General features: G+C 36.0%; 1 long non-coding RNA gene across 3 annotated transcripts in view; it reads left to right on the top strand.

Annotated features, from left to right (window-relative positions):
* LOC102723576 (uncharacterized) overlaps nt 1-17,118 on the top strand; it is a 26,889-nt gene extending 9,771 nt beyond the window's left edge. Inside the window, exons 4-5 of one of the 3 annotated variants that reach the window (XR_939020.3) lie at nt 12,190-12,318; nt 16,918-17,118. This is a non-coding gene — a long non-coding RNA (uncharacterized LOC102723576). Of the gene's footprint in view, nt 1-12,189 lie in introns of all 3 variants that reach the window. The other 2 variants (XR_427569.4, XR_001741777.2) reach the window with 2 other exon arrangements.

Below are 17,118 nucleotides of genomic sequence, written 5' to 3'. Positions count from 1 at the left end.
ACTTAAGTTTAGTCAACTGGGATGGACAGTTCCTCTCTGGCTAGAGCTGGTCTAAATGCTCCCTCAGTGGGTGGGAATTAGCTGAGTTCAGCCCAATTTTGCTTTCTGCTATGACAGGGCAGCACTGAGTTCACTTCAAAGTCCCACTATCACTGCACTCTCCCTCCCCCAAGCACACAGATTGTCTGCACCACAAAGCTGCTACCGGGGTATGATGGAGGGGTAGCATCAGTGACCCATGACTATCTTTTCTACCCTTTTCAGTGCCTCTTTCAGCTGTATGAAGCTAAAGCCTGGTACCGTGATTGCTCTCCCGATTTTTGGTTCTTACGAAGGTGCTTTTGCGTAAATAGTTGTTAAATTTGGTGCTCTTGGTGGGGGCAGGGGTGGTGATCAGTGGAGGCTTTTATTTGGCCATCTTGCTCTGCTCCTCCAACAAGTACAATTTTAAGAATGAATGGCTTCGTTATTGATAACTATGGTAAGACAGGGGACACAAGCCATCGGGGACCCAGAAAAATTAGGACATATAGTCACCCTCTGTTTAGTTTTCCACTCCTTCACTCTCCTCCTTTGTTAAGAGCTGCTCTTAGAAAGGGAATATCAGTCACTGCATGAATCAGAGTTCTTTGCCTTCCAGAGAAATTTTTAATGTTAACTCACATGGAAAAATAAATAATTTTCTTTCCCTTGTAAAGGAAGTAGTTTCTATCTTTGTTTAATGAAAATATTGTTTCAGTCCTGCAAGATAAAAAAGTTCCAGAGATCTATTTCACAATAATTTAAGTATGTTTAGTACTACTGAACATTACACTTAAAATGCTAGGGTGGTAAATTTTATGATAGGTGTTTGTTGCCACCATAAGAAAATAGATTCAAATTGAACTTTTGGACTTTTGGAATAGAAACTGGATAGAAACCATATGAATAGTTTCTATCGTTTTTTCTGTAACATATCAAACCATTTTGCCTTTTAAGTTTACAATGTTTTTAAAAGATAACTTTATGATTCATTGCCTTTAATCAAAGACTTTCCATAAGGGTTTTTTTTTTGTTTTTTTGTTTTTTTGGTTTTTGAACACAGGAAGGTAAAGCCAGCCTGGTGCCTGTTAGAAGAGTAATAACAAAAAATTACCCTGATCAATCTCATAAGGTATATGTAGGCCTTTTAAAATCTTCTTTGGTTCTAGATGCTTGATGAATCACCACACTGTCTTCCACAATAATTGGACTAATTTACACTCCCACCAACATTATAAAAGCTTTCCTATTTCTCCACAGCCTCGCCAGCATCTATTGTTTTCTGACTTTTTAATAATCGCCACTCTGACTGGCATGAGATGGTATCCCATTGTGGTTTTGATTTGCATTTCTCTAATGACCAGTGATGATGAGCTTTTCTTCATATGTTTTTTGGCTGCATAAATGTCTTCTTTTGAGAAGTGCCTGTTCATATCCTTCACCCACTTTTTGATGGGGTTGTTTGATTTTTTCTTGTAAATTTGTTTAAGTTCCTTGTAGATTCTGGATATTAGCCCTTTGTCAGATGGATAGATTGCAAAAATTTTCTCCCATTCTGTAGATTGCCTGTTCACTCTGATGGTAGTTTCTTTTGCTGTGCAGAAGCTCTTTAGTTTCTTTAGATCCCATTTGTCAATTTTGGCTTTTGTTGCCATTGCTTTTGGCAAAGTATTATAAATCATTCTGCTATAAAGACACATGAACACGTACGTTTATTGCAGCACTATTTACAATAGCAGGCTTGGAACCAAACCAAATGCCCATCAATGATAGACTGGATAAAGAAGATGTGGCACATATACATCAGGGAATACTATGCAGCCATAAAAAAAGAATGAGTTCATGTCCTTTGCAGGGACATGGATGAAACTGGAAGCTATCATTCTCAGCAAACTAACACAGGAACAGAAAATCAAATATTGCATGTTCTCACTCATAAGTGGGAGCTGAACAATGAGAACACATGGACACAGGGAGGGGAATATCACACACCAAGGCCTGTCAGGGGTGTGGGGACAAGGGGAAGGAGAGCATTAGGACAAATACCTAATGCATATAGGGCTTAAAACCTAGATGACGGGTTGATAGATGGAGCAAACCACCATGGTACATGTATACCTGTGTAAGAAACCTGCACGTTCTGTATATGTATCCTAGAAGTTAAAGTAAAATTTTTTTAAAAAGTAAAAAATAAGAAAAAATCTTCTTTGACTCGTAACTGACATACAATATACTGCACAGATATAAAGTGTACAATTTGATAACTGTTTATATATATTCACAATCAAGGTAATGAACATGTCCATTATGCCACAAAGATCTTTGTGCCACACTGTGATTCCTATTCCTGCCCCTCCCTGTCTTCCCCATCCCAACACAACTACTGATCTTATTGCTGCCACTGTCAGTTTTCCTTCTGCCTGAAGGATTTTCTTTAGTATTTTTTGTACTGTGAATCTGACGGTGATTACTTCTTTCAGCCTTTACATGCTGAAAATAGTCTTTATTTCACCTTCATTTTGGAAAGATATTCACTGGGTATAGAATTTTAGATTGAAAGGTATTTTCTTTCAATGCTTTCTACTCTGTTCTCTCTTGTGCTATTTCCAGTAATAAATCTATTGTCTTGCTTACTTGTGTCTGCTAAGCATCACCAATATTTTAAAAATTTTTCTCATTAACATTGGTTATGACTATGATGTGCCTTGACATAGTTTTCTCCTTATTGTTTGTACCTGGGGCTTATTGAGCTTCCTGAAGTTGTAAGTTTATGATTTTCATGAAATATGAAAAATGTTAACCATTATCTTCTAAAAATGTTTTCCTTTTCTTCCTAGGGCTACAATTACACATATATTAGGCCTCCTGAAGTTGTCTCACCTCGCACTGATGCTTTTTTCAGTTTTTTCCCTGTATTTAATTCTGAATGGCTTTTATCTTTTTTTCTGTGACATACAATTTGCTGTTAATCTCATCCACTGTATTTTTTATTCCAGATGTCTAAAAGTTCAACTTGAATCTATTATTGTCACAAAAAACGCCTGTCATAAAATTTACCATCTTAACAATTTTTAAGTATAATGTTTAGTAATGTTAAACATACTTAAATTATTGTGAAATAGATCTCTGAAACTTTTTTATCTTGCAGAACTGAAACAGTACTTCCATTAAACAATAACTCCTCTTTGTCTCCTCCTCCTACCCCACCAGAAACCACCATTCTACTTTTCATTTCTATGAATTTGACTACTTTAGATACCTCTTATAAGGGGAATCATACAGTATTTGTTCTTTTGTGATTATTTCGCTTAATATTATATTCCCAAGGTTCATCCATGTTGTAGCACGTGGTTAATTTTCATTTCATTTTATAGCTGTATAATATTCAACTCTATCACATTTTCTTTAACCATTCATCTGTTAGACATTTAGGTTGCTTTCACCTCTTGGCTAGTGTGAATAGTACAGCTATGAATATGGGTATGCAAATATCTCTTCAAGACCTTAATTTTAAATCTTTTTAATATGTACCCAGAAGTGGAATTGCTGAATGATATAGTAATTTAATTGTTAAATTTTGGAGGAACCACCATACTGTTATACATACTGCCATAGTGGTTGCACTATTTAAAAACCCAACCAACAGTGCATGGTGTCCCAATTTAGCCATATCTTTGCCAATACTTGTTTTTTTTTTTTTTTAATATAGTGGCCATCCTAATGGGTGTGAGGTGATGCTTCATTGTGGTTTTGGCTTGCATTTCTCTGATGATTAGTGAAGTTGAGAATTTTTTCATATCCTTGATGGCCATTTGTATAACATCTCTGGATAAATGTCTATTCGATTTCTTTGTTCATTTTTAAATTGGGTTATTTGTTTTTTTGATAATGAGTTGTAGAAGTTCTTTATACATTCTAGATATACCACTTACCAGATATATTATTTGCAAATATTTTCTTCCATTCTGTAGATTGCCCTTTCACTCTGTTGACAGTGTACTTCGATAAACAAAAGTTTTTAAGTTTGATGTAGTCCCATTTGTCTATTTTAGCTTTTGCTGCCTGTGTTTTTGCTGTCATATTCAATAAGTAATTGCCAACTCTAATGTCATGAAGATTTTCTCCTACGTTTCCTTCTAGGAGTTTTATAGTTTTGAGTATTATATTTAAGTCTTTAACCCATTTTAAGTTAATTTTTGTATGTAGTGTAAGATAAGGGTCCAACTTCATTTTTTGCCTGTGGATATCCGGTTTTCCCAATACCATTCATTGAAGAGACTCTTCTTTACCCATTGAGTGGTCTTAACACTCTTGTCAAAGATCATTTGGCCATATTTGTAAGGGTTTATTTCTGAGCTCTATATTTCATTGGTCTATATGTATGGCTTTAATGCCAATACCACACTGTTTTAATTATTATAGCTTTATGATATATTTTAAAATAGAGATGTGTGAGTTCTCCAACTTTGTTCTTTTTCAAAATTGTTTTGGCTATTCAGTTAGGACCTTTGTTATATTTGTATGTTTCTATGTAACATGTTCAGTCATTCCTCTAGCTTTTGGAACATATAGAATGATTATGGCTTAAATGTGTCCCCTCCAAAATTCGCATGTTGTGAATGTGGTAGTAATAAGAGATAAAACCTGTAAGAGGTGCTTAGGTCATGAGGGTGCCTCTCTCATGTATGGAATTAACACCCTTACAAAAGACACTGCACACAGCATTTGCTTGCCCTTCCACCTTTTTCCATGTGAGTACACAGTCTTCCTCCCCTCCAAGGGATGTAGCCTTCACCAGACAACCAAACCTGCTGGTGCTTTGGTCTTGATAATTTTCTGTTCTTTATAAATTACCCATTATCAGATATTAGAACAGCACAGACAGGCTAAGACAGCAATTGGTACCAAGATGTGGGGTTGTTGCTATAAAAAAAATCTAAAAATGAGGCCAGTTATGGTGGCTTATGTCTATAATCCCAGAACTTTGGGATGCCGAGGTGGGCAGATCACGAGGTCAGGAGATCGAGACCATCCTGGCTAACACAGTGAAACCCCATCTCTATTAAAAATACAAAAAATTAGCTGGGCGTGGTGGCAGGTGACTGTAGTCCCAGCTACTCAGAAGGCTGAGGCAGGAGAATGGCGTGAACCCAGGAGGTGGAGCTTGCAGTGAGCCGAGATCACGCCACTGTACTCCAGCCTGGGCGACAGAGCAAGACTCTGCCTCAAAAAAAAAAAAAAAAATACTAAAAATGTGGAAGCAGCTTTGGAACTGGGTAATGGGCAAAGGCTGGAAGAGTTTGGAGGAGTAGGCCAGAAAAATCATATACTGCTGTGGCTGCAGCATTAAGGGTAATTCTGGTGAGAGCCCAGAAGAGGAGAGCTGTAGAGAGAGCCTTGGTATTCTTGGAGATTACTTCAGTGGACAGGAAGAGAATATTGGTAGAAATATGGACAGAGTAGACAACTCTGATGAGATTTTAGACAGAAATAAGTAATATCTTACTGGAAACTGGAGGAAAGACCATCCTTGTTACTGAATTACATTCCTGTCCGATGACTTTATGAAAGACAGAACTTAAGAGCAATGAACTAGGATATTTGGCAAAAGAAATCTCTAAGCAGAAAAGCTTTCAGGATGCTATGTGGCTTCTTTTAACTGCTTATAGTAAAATGTAAAAGGAAAAAGAGTTTTAAGATAGAACTTATAATTAAAAAGGAAAGCAGAATGTAAAGATTTGGAAAATTTTTAGCCTGGCTATGTAAACAAAGAAAGAAAACCAAGGGTGCAGCCAAGTGACCCTTTTATAAGGAAATATGTATGGATAGTGTAAAGCCAGGTGCTACTCATCAAAAGAAGGGAAGAATGACCTCAAAGGCATTTTGGAGATCTTTGAGGCTCTTCCTCTCATCATAGACTCAGACTGCCAGGAATTTGAGGCCAGAACAATTTTGAGAGAGGTCCCAGAACTCTCATAAAGCCTTGGGATTCATGATTCAGGGCCACTCTATGTCTCTGCTACCTTCATTCCAGGACAGCACTCCTCAGCCACCCCAGCTGTGGTTCAAGTGAGCCTAAGTGCAGTTCAGGCTGCTACTCCAAAAGGCAAAACCCACAAACCTTGACAATGTCCACATGGTGCTAACTCTGCAGGGATGCAGAGTGTGCAAGCTCTATGCAGGCTGTTAAAAATGCCATCAGAATTTTAATAAAAATTGCATTGAATCTGTAGGTCACTTTGTGTAATATGAAAATTTTAACAATATTAATTCTTCCAATCCATGAACATGGGATATCTTTCCATTTATTTGTCTTTCTCAATATGTTTCATGAGTTTTTTCGTAGTTTTCAGTGTACAGATCTTTCACTTCATTATTAAATTTATTTCTTAAGTATTTTATTCCTTTTGATGCTATTTTAATAGAATTGTTTTCTCAATTTCTTTTTGAATCAGTCATTGTTCTTGTATTGAAATATGACTTTTTTAATGTTGATGTTATATTCTATAACTTCACTGAATTCATTTAACAGTTTTCTGGTGGTGTCTTTAGGGTTTTCTATATATAGGATAATGTAATTTGAAATCACAGACAATGTTACTTTCTTTCCAATTCAGATGCTTTCTATTTCTTTCTCTTGTCTAATTGTTCTGGCTAGAATTTTCAGTACTAGTTGAATAGAAGTGGTGAAAGTGGGCACCCTTGAAATCCAAACTGTTCCAAATAACATTTGAAGTAATACATTAATTAGATTCTACTTGCTTTTTAAAATTACTTCCCCTACTGCCTCCACACACTATACATCCAGCCAAAATATGCCCCATACATTGTCCCTTCTATGAAGGTATTTCTCCAGTTGGAATTATTTTTCCCTCATATGCCCACTTGTCAAAATATATAAAGCCCAGTTTAAATTACTTTATTCATGGAGATTTCTCAGTCACTCTGGTTTGACCTATGTGATAAGTCTTTTTTAAGCTTGTAATAAAACATGTATCTAACTTTTCCCTACATTAACTTTTAGAGTTTAAATTCCTTAAAAGCAGTAAGTGTCTCTAGTTCATCTTGGCATTTTTATTTCTTGCTTCAACTGAGTAATAAGAGTTGACTAAACAGAGTTAGCTAAGGAAAAGAAAGTACCCTCCTTTGTTTTGCTCTTTCCCACCCCAATCAGAATTTTTCACAAGCTTTGTTGAAACACACCTAACAACAATTCTCACCTACATTTTCTATATAGATCACTATCTCCCATAGAGACACTGCTCTCTGCTGAAGCCCAACAAGACTTGGCTCTTATTTTCACTAGCTTTATTTATTTCAACCTTCTGGCACAACCATATAATATTTTTGTATTTCCTTGTGGGAACATATGTGATTAATAGTTTTTATATTCTCTTATTCTTAAGCAAAGTATCCCAAGGGCTGGGCACCTGTTCTGACAAATATCAAACATCTACAGTAAGATAAGTGAACATATGATAAGCACACATTTATTTAAAATTCTCTCTTTGTTTAGAAAATCACACATATTTGCCTTTTATTTGTCCACACAAATTCACAAGAAATTTTTTCTTTGAATCCAAGTCAAGGCAGAAAAATATTGTGATTCTATGTCACCACAGACCCACATTATTTGCCCTCAGGAAGTAACACAAAGAATCAGACACTCTTCTCCTCCCTCATTTCTGGGAAGATCATCAGGTTGTCCCAGTGGAGGCTCATCTATAAGTACAAGTAAAACCCTTCTGCAGCCCTCTATTTAGTGAGTGGGCAATTCTAGCCTGAGCCTCAACTTTTCAGGTAATTGAAGATTTTAACCATCAAGGAGCAGCTGAACGCAGTGCAGCACTACCTGAGTAATAATTGGCTTCTAAACCAGTTTAAAGAAAAATGACAATGCCATAGGTACTTGAAGAATATTATTTACAAGCTAAGTAAATGAAAACTCAGTTGAATCAGTTTTGCCACCACGCATGTATATCTTGGACTGTCTTTTTCCACAAAACTGTCATAGGTTTTCTACTTCCTTAAGTTAAAGATCTAGGCTATAATTTTTCTTATTAAATAACTTAAGCTTTTTCCTGTTAGTACAGATGAGAGCATATTATAAACTTCAGTATATGACTTCCCAAAAAGTCCACAATTTCATTTTTAATTTATTCTGTAAAGCAATAGCTAATGAAAGTTTGTGTTTTTTTACTGGTTGGTTGGTTAATTTCTTTGTTTAAATCTGTATAATTAAATTTTAATCTAGTTTTCAGACTATATAACTTTACAATTTCTGCTCTTTGGAGTTAATAAGACTTTGTTTCCTAGGCCATCATGTATTTTGTAAGTCTTGTATAAACTTTCAAAAAAAGATATTCTTTGTATGTAGAATGTACAGCAATATAATTTTACCTCATTTAATATTATTATTCTAAATACTCTTCACATGTCAAGTATATTAGTGGTCCACAAGCTTTTTGGCACTCGGGGCTGGTTTTGTGGAAGACAATTTTTCTATGAACTGGGGTTGGAGGATAGTTTCGGGATAATTCATGCACATTGCATTTATTGTGCACTTTTTTCCTATTATTATTACATTGTAATATATAATGAAATAATTCTACAATTCACCGTAATGTAGAATGAGTGGGAGCCCTAAGCTTGATTTCCTGCAACTAGACAGTCCCATCTAGGGGTGATGGGAGACAGTGACAGATAATCAGGTATTCAACTGTCATAAGGAGTGCACATCCTGGATCTCTTGCATGTGCAGTCCACAATAGAGTTCTCACTCCTATGAGAATCTAATGCTCTGCTGATCTGTCAGAAAGCAGAACTCAAGCAGTAAAGCAAGCGCTAGGGAGCGGCTGTAAAAACTGATAACATTTTGTTAGCTCGCTCATCACTCACCTCCTGCTGTGTGGTCTGGTTCCTTAATAGTCCATGGACTGTTACTGATTGGTGGCCCTTGGGTAGGGGCCCCTGAAGTATACGACTGATTATGAATGAATAATGTGCACATGAATTACCTGGGGATCTTGTTAGAATGTAGATTGTGCTTCAGTAGGCACAGTGGGCCATGAGGTTCAACATCTCTAATAAACACCCCAGTGATGCCCACGTTGCTGGTCTGTGGACCTCACTTTGAGTAGCAAGGGCTTAAGCCACTCTTAGTTAGTATTCTGTAACTTGGAACCCAGGTATCACTATGGATGATGCCCCGACCTTTATGCATTCCTCTCCCTTAGATTAGATTGGCACTTCCAAGTTCCTTGAAGTGATGACTTCTCATTTTCTCTATGATTCTAACTTTTAAGATATTATATTATCTAATGCTAAGGTATTCCTTGACTATGCAATTTTCCTTCTGGCCATAAAAAATTATCCTCTCTGTCAGGTCTCAGGCTTCTTTGATGTTTATTAAGCCATCCTGATTTTTTGTGTTTAAATTTGCCCAATATATATGCTTAAAGACTAATGGGTACTCAAAATATTAATTAAATGAAAAACTACTACCATCTATTTTTTATATCTTTGATTTTTATTATTTTGGTTCAAGAAGTATCTTTTTGTTTTGTTGTCCTGTTCTAGGGTCTCTTGATAAGTATCTAGAAGTTGTCCAGATTGCTGATTTGACGTCAAGAGTGTCAATTCTGGTCTTTACTATTTCCATTTTGAGTTTTTATTTGTTGGCTTGTTTGCTTGCTTGTTTTTACTATTATATTCCTAGTTTATTGTGTAAGTTGTTCATTCACTGGGATTCCACTTGGAGCTCAGCCTTTACTTTAGCCGTAATGGGTCAAAGCATCCATTTCATAGAGGCTATTCTATTCATACACCTGGAGAAGACCAATGAACCAATTGCTTTCTAAAATTATGATTTGTTTCTTATAAAAAGTTATGTTCTTTTATGTTTTCGGGTGTTGTCTTCCCCCCCTTATATTGCAGTATTGTTTTATAGGCCCCATTTTAGTTTCTTCTTGTTTCCTTTTTCTTATATAAAATTGTTTCTGATACTGCATTTGTCAAAAGATAGGGTGAGTGGAACAGCCTTAAGCTTCCATTCTGTCTACTTGGGAGCTTGTTTGGTAGCTAAAGCTAAATTCTATTTTCATGCACAGCACCTAGCCATGCAATATGCAGTTCTTAATTAAGCAACATAACACATGGGACTAGACCTCCTCATTAACTGTTCCCACAGGCTAACTCCATCCACACTTGCAATACGTTTCCTTTGTTCACACTAAGCATACCAGGATGCCCTGTGCTTTCTCCAGACCGCTTTTATACAATATGTTGCATTCATAAAGAAGCCTGGATAGAGAAAGAGCAGTAGTAATGGTGCAGGATGTGTCTAGGAGAAGTAGGATAATTCCAATGGGCAAAGACAATTCTACATGGTCTGTTCAGGAATGATAACATTTCCTGATGGTCAGTAGAGCTCTTTAATCTGAAAAAGGCATAGAGAGGAGAGATAACAAAGTATTTTCATATTTCCTTTGGCATATGGTTCAAAAGCTAGAGTATGTGGTATGCCTCAAAAACTGTGCTTCTCAATACAGATGAAAAATCTATTCTGACTATGGCCTTTGAATTTATATTGTGGATACTAGCTTTTGTAGTAATTGTTGGCTTCATTGGGTGGAGGCACAGGAGGCATGATTATTCATCTATCATGTTAACCCAGTAATTTAATCCAAATACGCAATAACCTAGAGAATTAAGGAACCTGTGATCAGACCCCCATATTAGCAAGGGATATAAGAAAATACAGAATTCCCATTCTAGATATTTCACCAACTACATGTGACCTGAAAAAATTGCATAATCTCAGAGGGCCCTTAATTTTATCATGTGTGAAATAATTTAGACTAAATAATACCATCTAGCTGTAATTTTTTGTTTAAAAAATCCTCAAAGTACAATGGAAATGTTTTTATTTTTCCTACAGAGATTTAAAGTCCAAAAAGTCTTATAAAGCACAGGTTCTCATTTTCAAAAGACATAATGCTTAGAATTCATTATATTTTTTACAGAATATCATGTAATATTGATGTTACATTTAGAGTAACTAATTATGTAATTCTGAGATTATAGAATAAACATATGGAAGCAGATGTTTAAGTTTATGATAGAGAAAAAAATTATATTATTTTACTTCTGCTTCCTACTATTTTCTTGTTCTACATATTCTTTTTAATTATCTTTTTAGTTCTAGAAGACTTTTACAAATTGGCCTTACAATTAACTTTACTGAACTTTTCAGATTCTTGAGAATATTATTTGACATGAGGTGTCCAAACAGATATTAAACTTAGCTTGTATAACTTTGTCAACAAGCTATTAAATTGCTATTAAACTTCCTTGTTTAATTATTCTAATCATAACAATTCAGAAGAAAACAGGCAACTCTGACCCCATGGCTTATGCACCTGGCTTGGTCCTTTGGGTCTTTCCAATTACTGTGTGGTGTTCGAGGTAGATTTTAATCCCATAAGATTAAGAATAAACATTTCTTTCTTTATTTTCCTTTTAAAGGCAGAAGTTTTGAAATAAAGTTGAAATGTGTGGTGTCATTCTACCTGGAACATGTCCACATAGAACGAAAAGCATTTTTTTTCCTTTTCTTTTGGCTGCAGTGCAAACATGGTGCACATGCACAGGAAGCGTGACTGCGTGTTTTTACTAATGCATAACACATGTCTGGGAGTGCTTGACTCCTAAAAAACCATGAGTTTTTCACTTACTTTGCACGTGGTACCCTGAAGTTATAAGAGTGCTACAAATTATTCAGTAAACATGTAACAAAGTTCAGAAAGAGTGATGGTAGAAATGGGTGTCCAGAAAGAGAGTAAACAGATGTTTTCATTCAACAACCATGACCTTCAGCTTTGGCAATAAAAGTAAATATAAATGACATTGGAATTTTCCACCCAGATCCAAGGCTAGCCTTCTGGTTTAAACTTCTTTATATCTCTATGACATTATCTCCTTCTAAGACCTTCTTCTCAATTGACCCGAAACATTCATATGATTGGTGGCCAGAGAAATATCGATCAAGATTATTGCTATTTACTCCCCGATGTTTAAAATAGGACTTTGAAGCAAGACAATAAGCTTAAAAGCCAAGCTGTTTAGGGTAGAGAATTTTCTAAATTCCTTTTCTTTTTTTTCTTAAAGGCTGAAGAAGACTCAGATTTCTGACACAATGGTAACACCTATCCCTTCTGCCTGTGACTGCCAGGGCTTGCTGTATGATGATAAGAAGAGAATGTGACACAGAGGAAGGGGAAAAAGTCCATCCCTCTGGTAGTAGGGGGTTGTGGAATGGGAGGGAAAAAGGGAGAAGGAGAAGTAGAAAATACTCATATCTAAATGTCTTCATGTCTTCTGCTTGACTTTAGCCAGGAATGAGTGTTAGGAAAGAGGGGATGCTCTAGAAGAGGAAGCTATGGAGTCTTATTTGGGTCTATGTAAATAGCCCAACCACAGGCCCTTCTGCCCAATCTAGGGCAGACCCATACCAGAGTTTAACGTGGCAACAAAGTGTGGTTAGACAGAAGTTAGGCATGGAGTTTAGCTTTTCAAGGCAGCTTTCCATCACTACAAGGCCAAGGCAGAAATTAAATATCTCATTTCCTTTTTGCAGGGTAGAGCAAGCAGGGCAAAGGGGAATGACTGAGCAATCAGGTGACTTGAGAGCCAAATAACATTCCCATTCACAGGGTCTGAATTGGTGAAATGTATCAAGATCTTCAGCTTGAGATGGACCATCAGAGCAGGAGGCCAGAAGAGAGACATGGGGTTTGTTGTGATAACTAGAGCTAAAGTGAGCTAAGTGATCAGTAGAGCAACACTGGGCTCTGGCCAACCAAAATAAACCAGACCATGAGCTCCACCAGATAAGGCCCTCTGCTACAAGTACAGTAGGTGAGCAGCACCCAGGCAGAGAGAGGCATTGTCAGGAAGACTGAAGGAAAGAGGAGCATCACAAGTGATGAGGAGCTGATCTTCACCTAGGCAAGGAGGTGGGAAAGTCTTCCTTCCCCCAGATGCCCTGGGAGAGAATTGGGGAACAGGAAGACTCTGGGAAACTGAGCATTTCTTTTTATCAAAAGATAAAGAGCACAAGGATTATTTACATCATTGTAATAACCTACATTTTTTAGGCATAATTTTAGAAACATATCTTGGCTGCATATATGTGAGATTGCTTACATTTTTAAACATTACAATTGCTTATTAAATAAAAGAAGGACCCAAATAAGAAAGAAGAGAAAAAATAAGCAAGATGCTTAAAATGACTTATCTCCTTCAACAGTAGAGTTCTCCAGCAAGAGAAATACTAAAACCTAAGCTGTTGCTTTAGCACTAAGATTAAGGTTCCTTCCCAAGTGTTAGTCCCAGTAAAGAAGGGTATGAGAAAAAATTGTGAAGTGCATGCAATTTGTTGTTACTTCTTTCATGATTCAACATTCTACTAAGCTACCTGATTTACCCTGGTTTTGTTGTTGTTATTGTTGTTTTTAGCCATTACAAATACTTTGCTCTCAGGGAAGACTCAGATATTAATTATAAATCTCAGGGTGAGTTTATTAATGCTAAATGATGAACAGTGTTATATTGAAAGATATTTCAAAAACAACCAAATCTAGTTTCCATAGCAACTATTTTGTATATGGAAGAGACACAGAAATTAAAGAAAAAAGACCTACCACTTACTGTGTGACCTTGACCTCTTTGATAATGTTTCTTCATTTGTGAAATAATGAAAAACTAATCATTACTCTACCAACTCTCTTCCTTTTTATGAAGATTGAAACCACATTAGTGAAAGTGCTTTGTGGTCTTTGAAGAATATAGTTATAATTGTTATGTCAAAGACCAAAAGAGATATTCAGGACTCAAGGCAGGCCTTCAGGGTTTCCCTGAGATAGCACTGTGGGCATTGTTTCATGATCTTTTACTATATGAGAAGTAGAGAAAGGAAGAGAGTTCTAAATGTTCATATACTGTGGTCATAAAATGCTTAAATTACTCCCTCCTAATCCACTTCTAAGATAAATATTGGTGAGGAGCCAGGATAGGCACTTTTTTTGTTATTTACAATCGTGGGGAAGGAGTTGAGTTGAAATCAAAGCCTTTAGTAATTTAATATAATGGTGTATAGGATCTGAGTGCCCTACTGCCTCCTAGCAATAAAAAGTTTGACTTCTAGAGTCAAGAACTTCTGTTTTTGCTAGTCTCCCCAAAATTGTCACTCTGTGAATATACACATTTTCTGTTCACAGTAGTAGGGATGTGGATTTTTTGCTTATCATGCTAGTTACTCCCTTGAAAAACTGAGTGGTATTTATATGATTGATAAGCTTATATACCACATAAAACCCATGCTCCAGCTTGAACAGTTATGGATGGGTAATGATATGTCTTGGTTTGCTGAAAATATAATTACAAAGTAATTATTAATGACTTACCTTTCAGTCTCAAAAATGTTCCAGTTCCAACAATTAATTATATAATCATTTTACTTATACCTATATGCGAACCAGAATTGGGACACATGGGCACCCTCGATAAAACCCAGATTTAATCAACTGCAAAAATCTTCCTCAGAAAAAGAAAAATTCAAAGTTTCAAGAACTAGAACTTCATGTTAATTTTTAACGAATAGCTCTGACGTTGGTGACCTATTTCAGAAATATTGTAGCAATTTAAAAGAGTAATACAGAATAACAACTTTTGCTACTTTGTGGATCATACAAGCTAGTATAAGATTAGAAAGAGAAAAGATCAGTGTAATTGATTTGATAGAATCATAAAAATTACTCTTAGCAGAATTAGGGTGAATGAAGTCTATCTTCGATAACTAGATAATATTTAAATAGTAATCATTTCAGACATTTTGAGTGTCATTTTGTAAAACTGGGTCCATCTTGATGAAGGTTCCAAGTCATTTGAAAAGAATATATATCATTTCATCATTGAATATAATCTTCAGTTAACGTCAATTAGCTCAAGTTGGTTGGTAATGTTGTATTATTCAGGTCTAGTATATCCTCATTAATTTTCTTTCTACTTCTTCTATCAAGTACCGACAGAAGATATGAGAGTGTTGAATTCACTCTCATGGTATGAGACATGAGAGTGTTGAATTCATTCTCACGGTGTTGAATTCATTTGATAGAATTCAGTACTTCTATCAAGTACTGATATGAGAGTGTTCAATGAACTCTATCACCCTGCAGTGATATAGAACAATATAACTTATTCCGCCTATCTAGCTGTAATTTTGTATCCATTAATCAACCTCTCCCTATATCCCATTTTCCCCAACCCTTACCAGCCTCTAGTGAGCATTCTACTCTCCATTTTTATGAGATCAACTTATTTAGCTTCCAAAAATGAGTGAGAATATGCGATATTTATCATTTTGTATCTGGCTTATTTCACTTCATATAATATTCTTCAAACTCCTCCATGATGCCACAAATGACAGGACTCTTTTTTTAGCTTAGAGTCTATTTTATCTGATGTAAGTTTAGCTACTGATCACTTTTGGTTTTCCATTGCATGGAATATCTTTTTCCACCCCTTAACTTTAAATCTATGTGTGTTTTTAAAGGTGAAGTGAGTTTTTTATAGGAAGCATATAGTTGGGTGTTGTTTTTTTAATCCATTCATTTCAAAAAATCCATCCTTTTTTTAATCCAAATGGTTTTTTAAGCCATTTTATATCTTTTAATTGGGGAATTTAACCCATTTATATTCAAGGTTACTATTGATAGCTGAGGTCTTACTCCTCTCAATTTGTTAATTGCTTTCTTATTGTTTTGTGAATCCTTTCTTTCTTCCTCTAGTATTGTATATCCTTTTGGTTGGATGTATTTCTGTAGTGGTAAGTTAGATACCTTTCTTCTGCTCATTAGTGTATCCATTCTACCAGTGAGTTTTATATTCTCATCTGTGTTCTTATCCTTTCACTTCCAGATGTGGGATTCCCTGAAGTATTTCTTGTAAGATCTGTCTAGTGGTGATACATTTCCTGTTTTTGCTTGTCCAGGAAATACTTTATTTAGCCTTCATTTTTAAAGAATAGCTTTTCTGGGGGTAGTATTCTTGGCCAGCAAAGGTTTTTTCAGCACCTTGAATATGTTGTCCCATCCTCTCCTGGTGTGCAAGTTTTCTGCTGAGAAACAGTTGTTAGTCTAATGGAGATTTACTTATATGTGACTTAAGGCTTTTCTCTATTTTTAAAATTCTTTCTTTGTCTTTGCCTTTTGACAGTAAAATCCCAATAGGCCTTGGAGAGGAGCTTTTTGGATTAAGTATATTTGGAGACTTTGAGAGCTAGATATCCTAGATAACATGGATCTAGATATCCATTTCTCTCTGAAGACATGGGAAGTTTTCAGCTGTTATTTTCTTAAATATGGTCACTATGCCTCTTCTCATTTCTTCTACTTCTGCAACTCTCAGATTCATATATTTCATTAAAGCTACTTAATGGTGTCCCATAAATCCTATAGGCTTTGTGAAAGAAAAATAAACCTTGGGACCCTAAAATCCCTAAGCCAGAAGGAAAAGTCAATCTGGGAACTGCAAGGGCAAACATACCTTTCATTCTACTCCTAAATAAGATAGCTACATTTTTTTTTAAAGCTACATACCTCCCTCACAATTTGCCCATAAGGAAATTCCTTGCGAACAAAGGACAGATAGAACTCAAAGTCATCCCTCTGCTCATGTGGGACAAATGCCTATCTGATTGCTTCCTTTCCCTATTGTTTCACTAAGCCAGACTAAGGCATAAGTGACTATTCATGTAAATTGTGTATTTAGTAAAAGACTAATCAGAAACTCAAAATAACGCATCTATTTGTCTTTTATCTACTTATGACCTGGAAGCCGCCTCCCTGCTTCAAGTTGTCCTGCCTTTCCCGACGGAACCAATGTACATCTTACATATACTGATTGATATCTCATGTCTCCCTAAAATGTATAAAACCAAGCTGTGCCCTGACAACCTTGGGCAATGTCATCAGGCCCTCCTGAGGCTGTGTCATAGGCATGTCCTTAACCTTAGCAAAATAAACTTTCTAAATTGAT

Source organism: Homo sapiens, chromosome 4 (genome assembly GCF_000001405.40).
Source record: "Homo sapiens chromosome 4, GRCh38.p14 Primary Assembly".
Lineage (NCBI taxonomy): Eukaryota > Metazoa > Chordata > Mammalia > Primates > Hominidae > Homo > Homo sapiens.
This window is presented reverse-complemented; position numbering and strand designations above follow the sequence as displayed.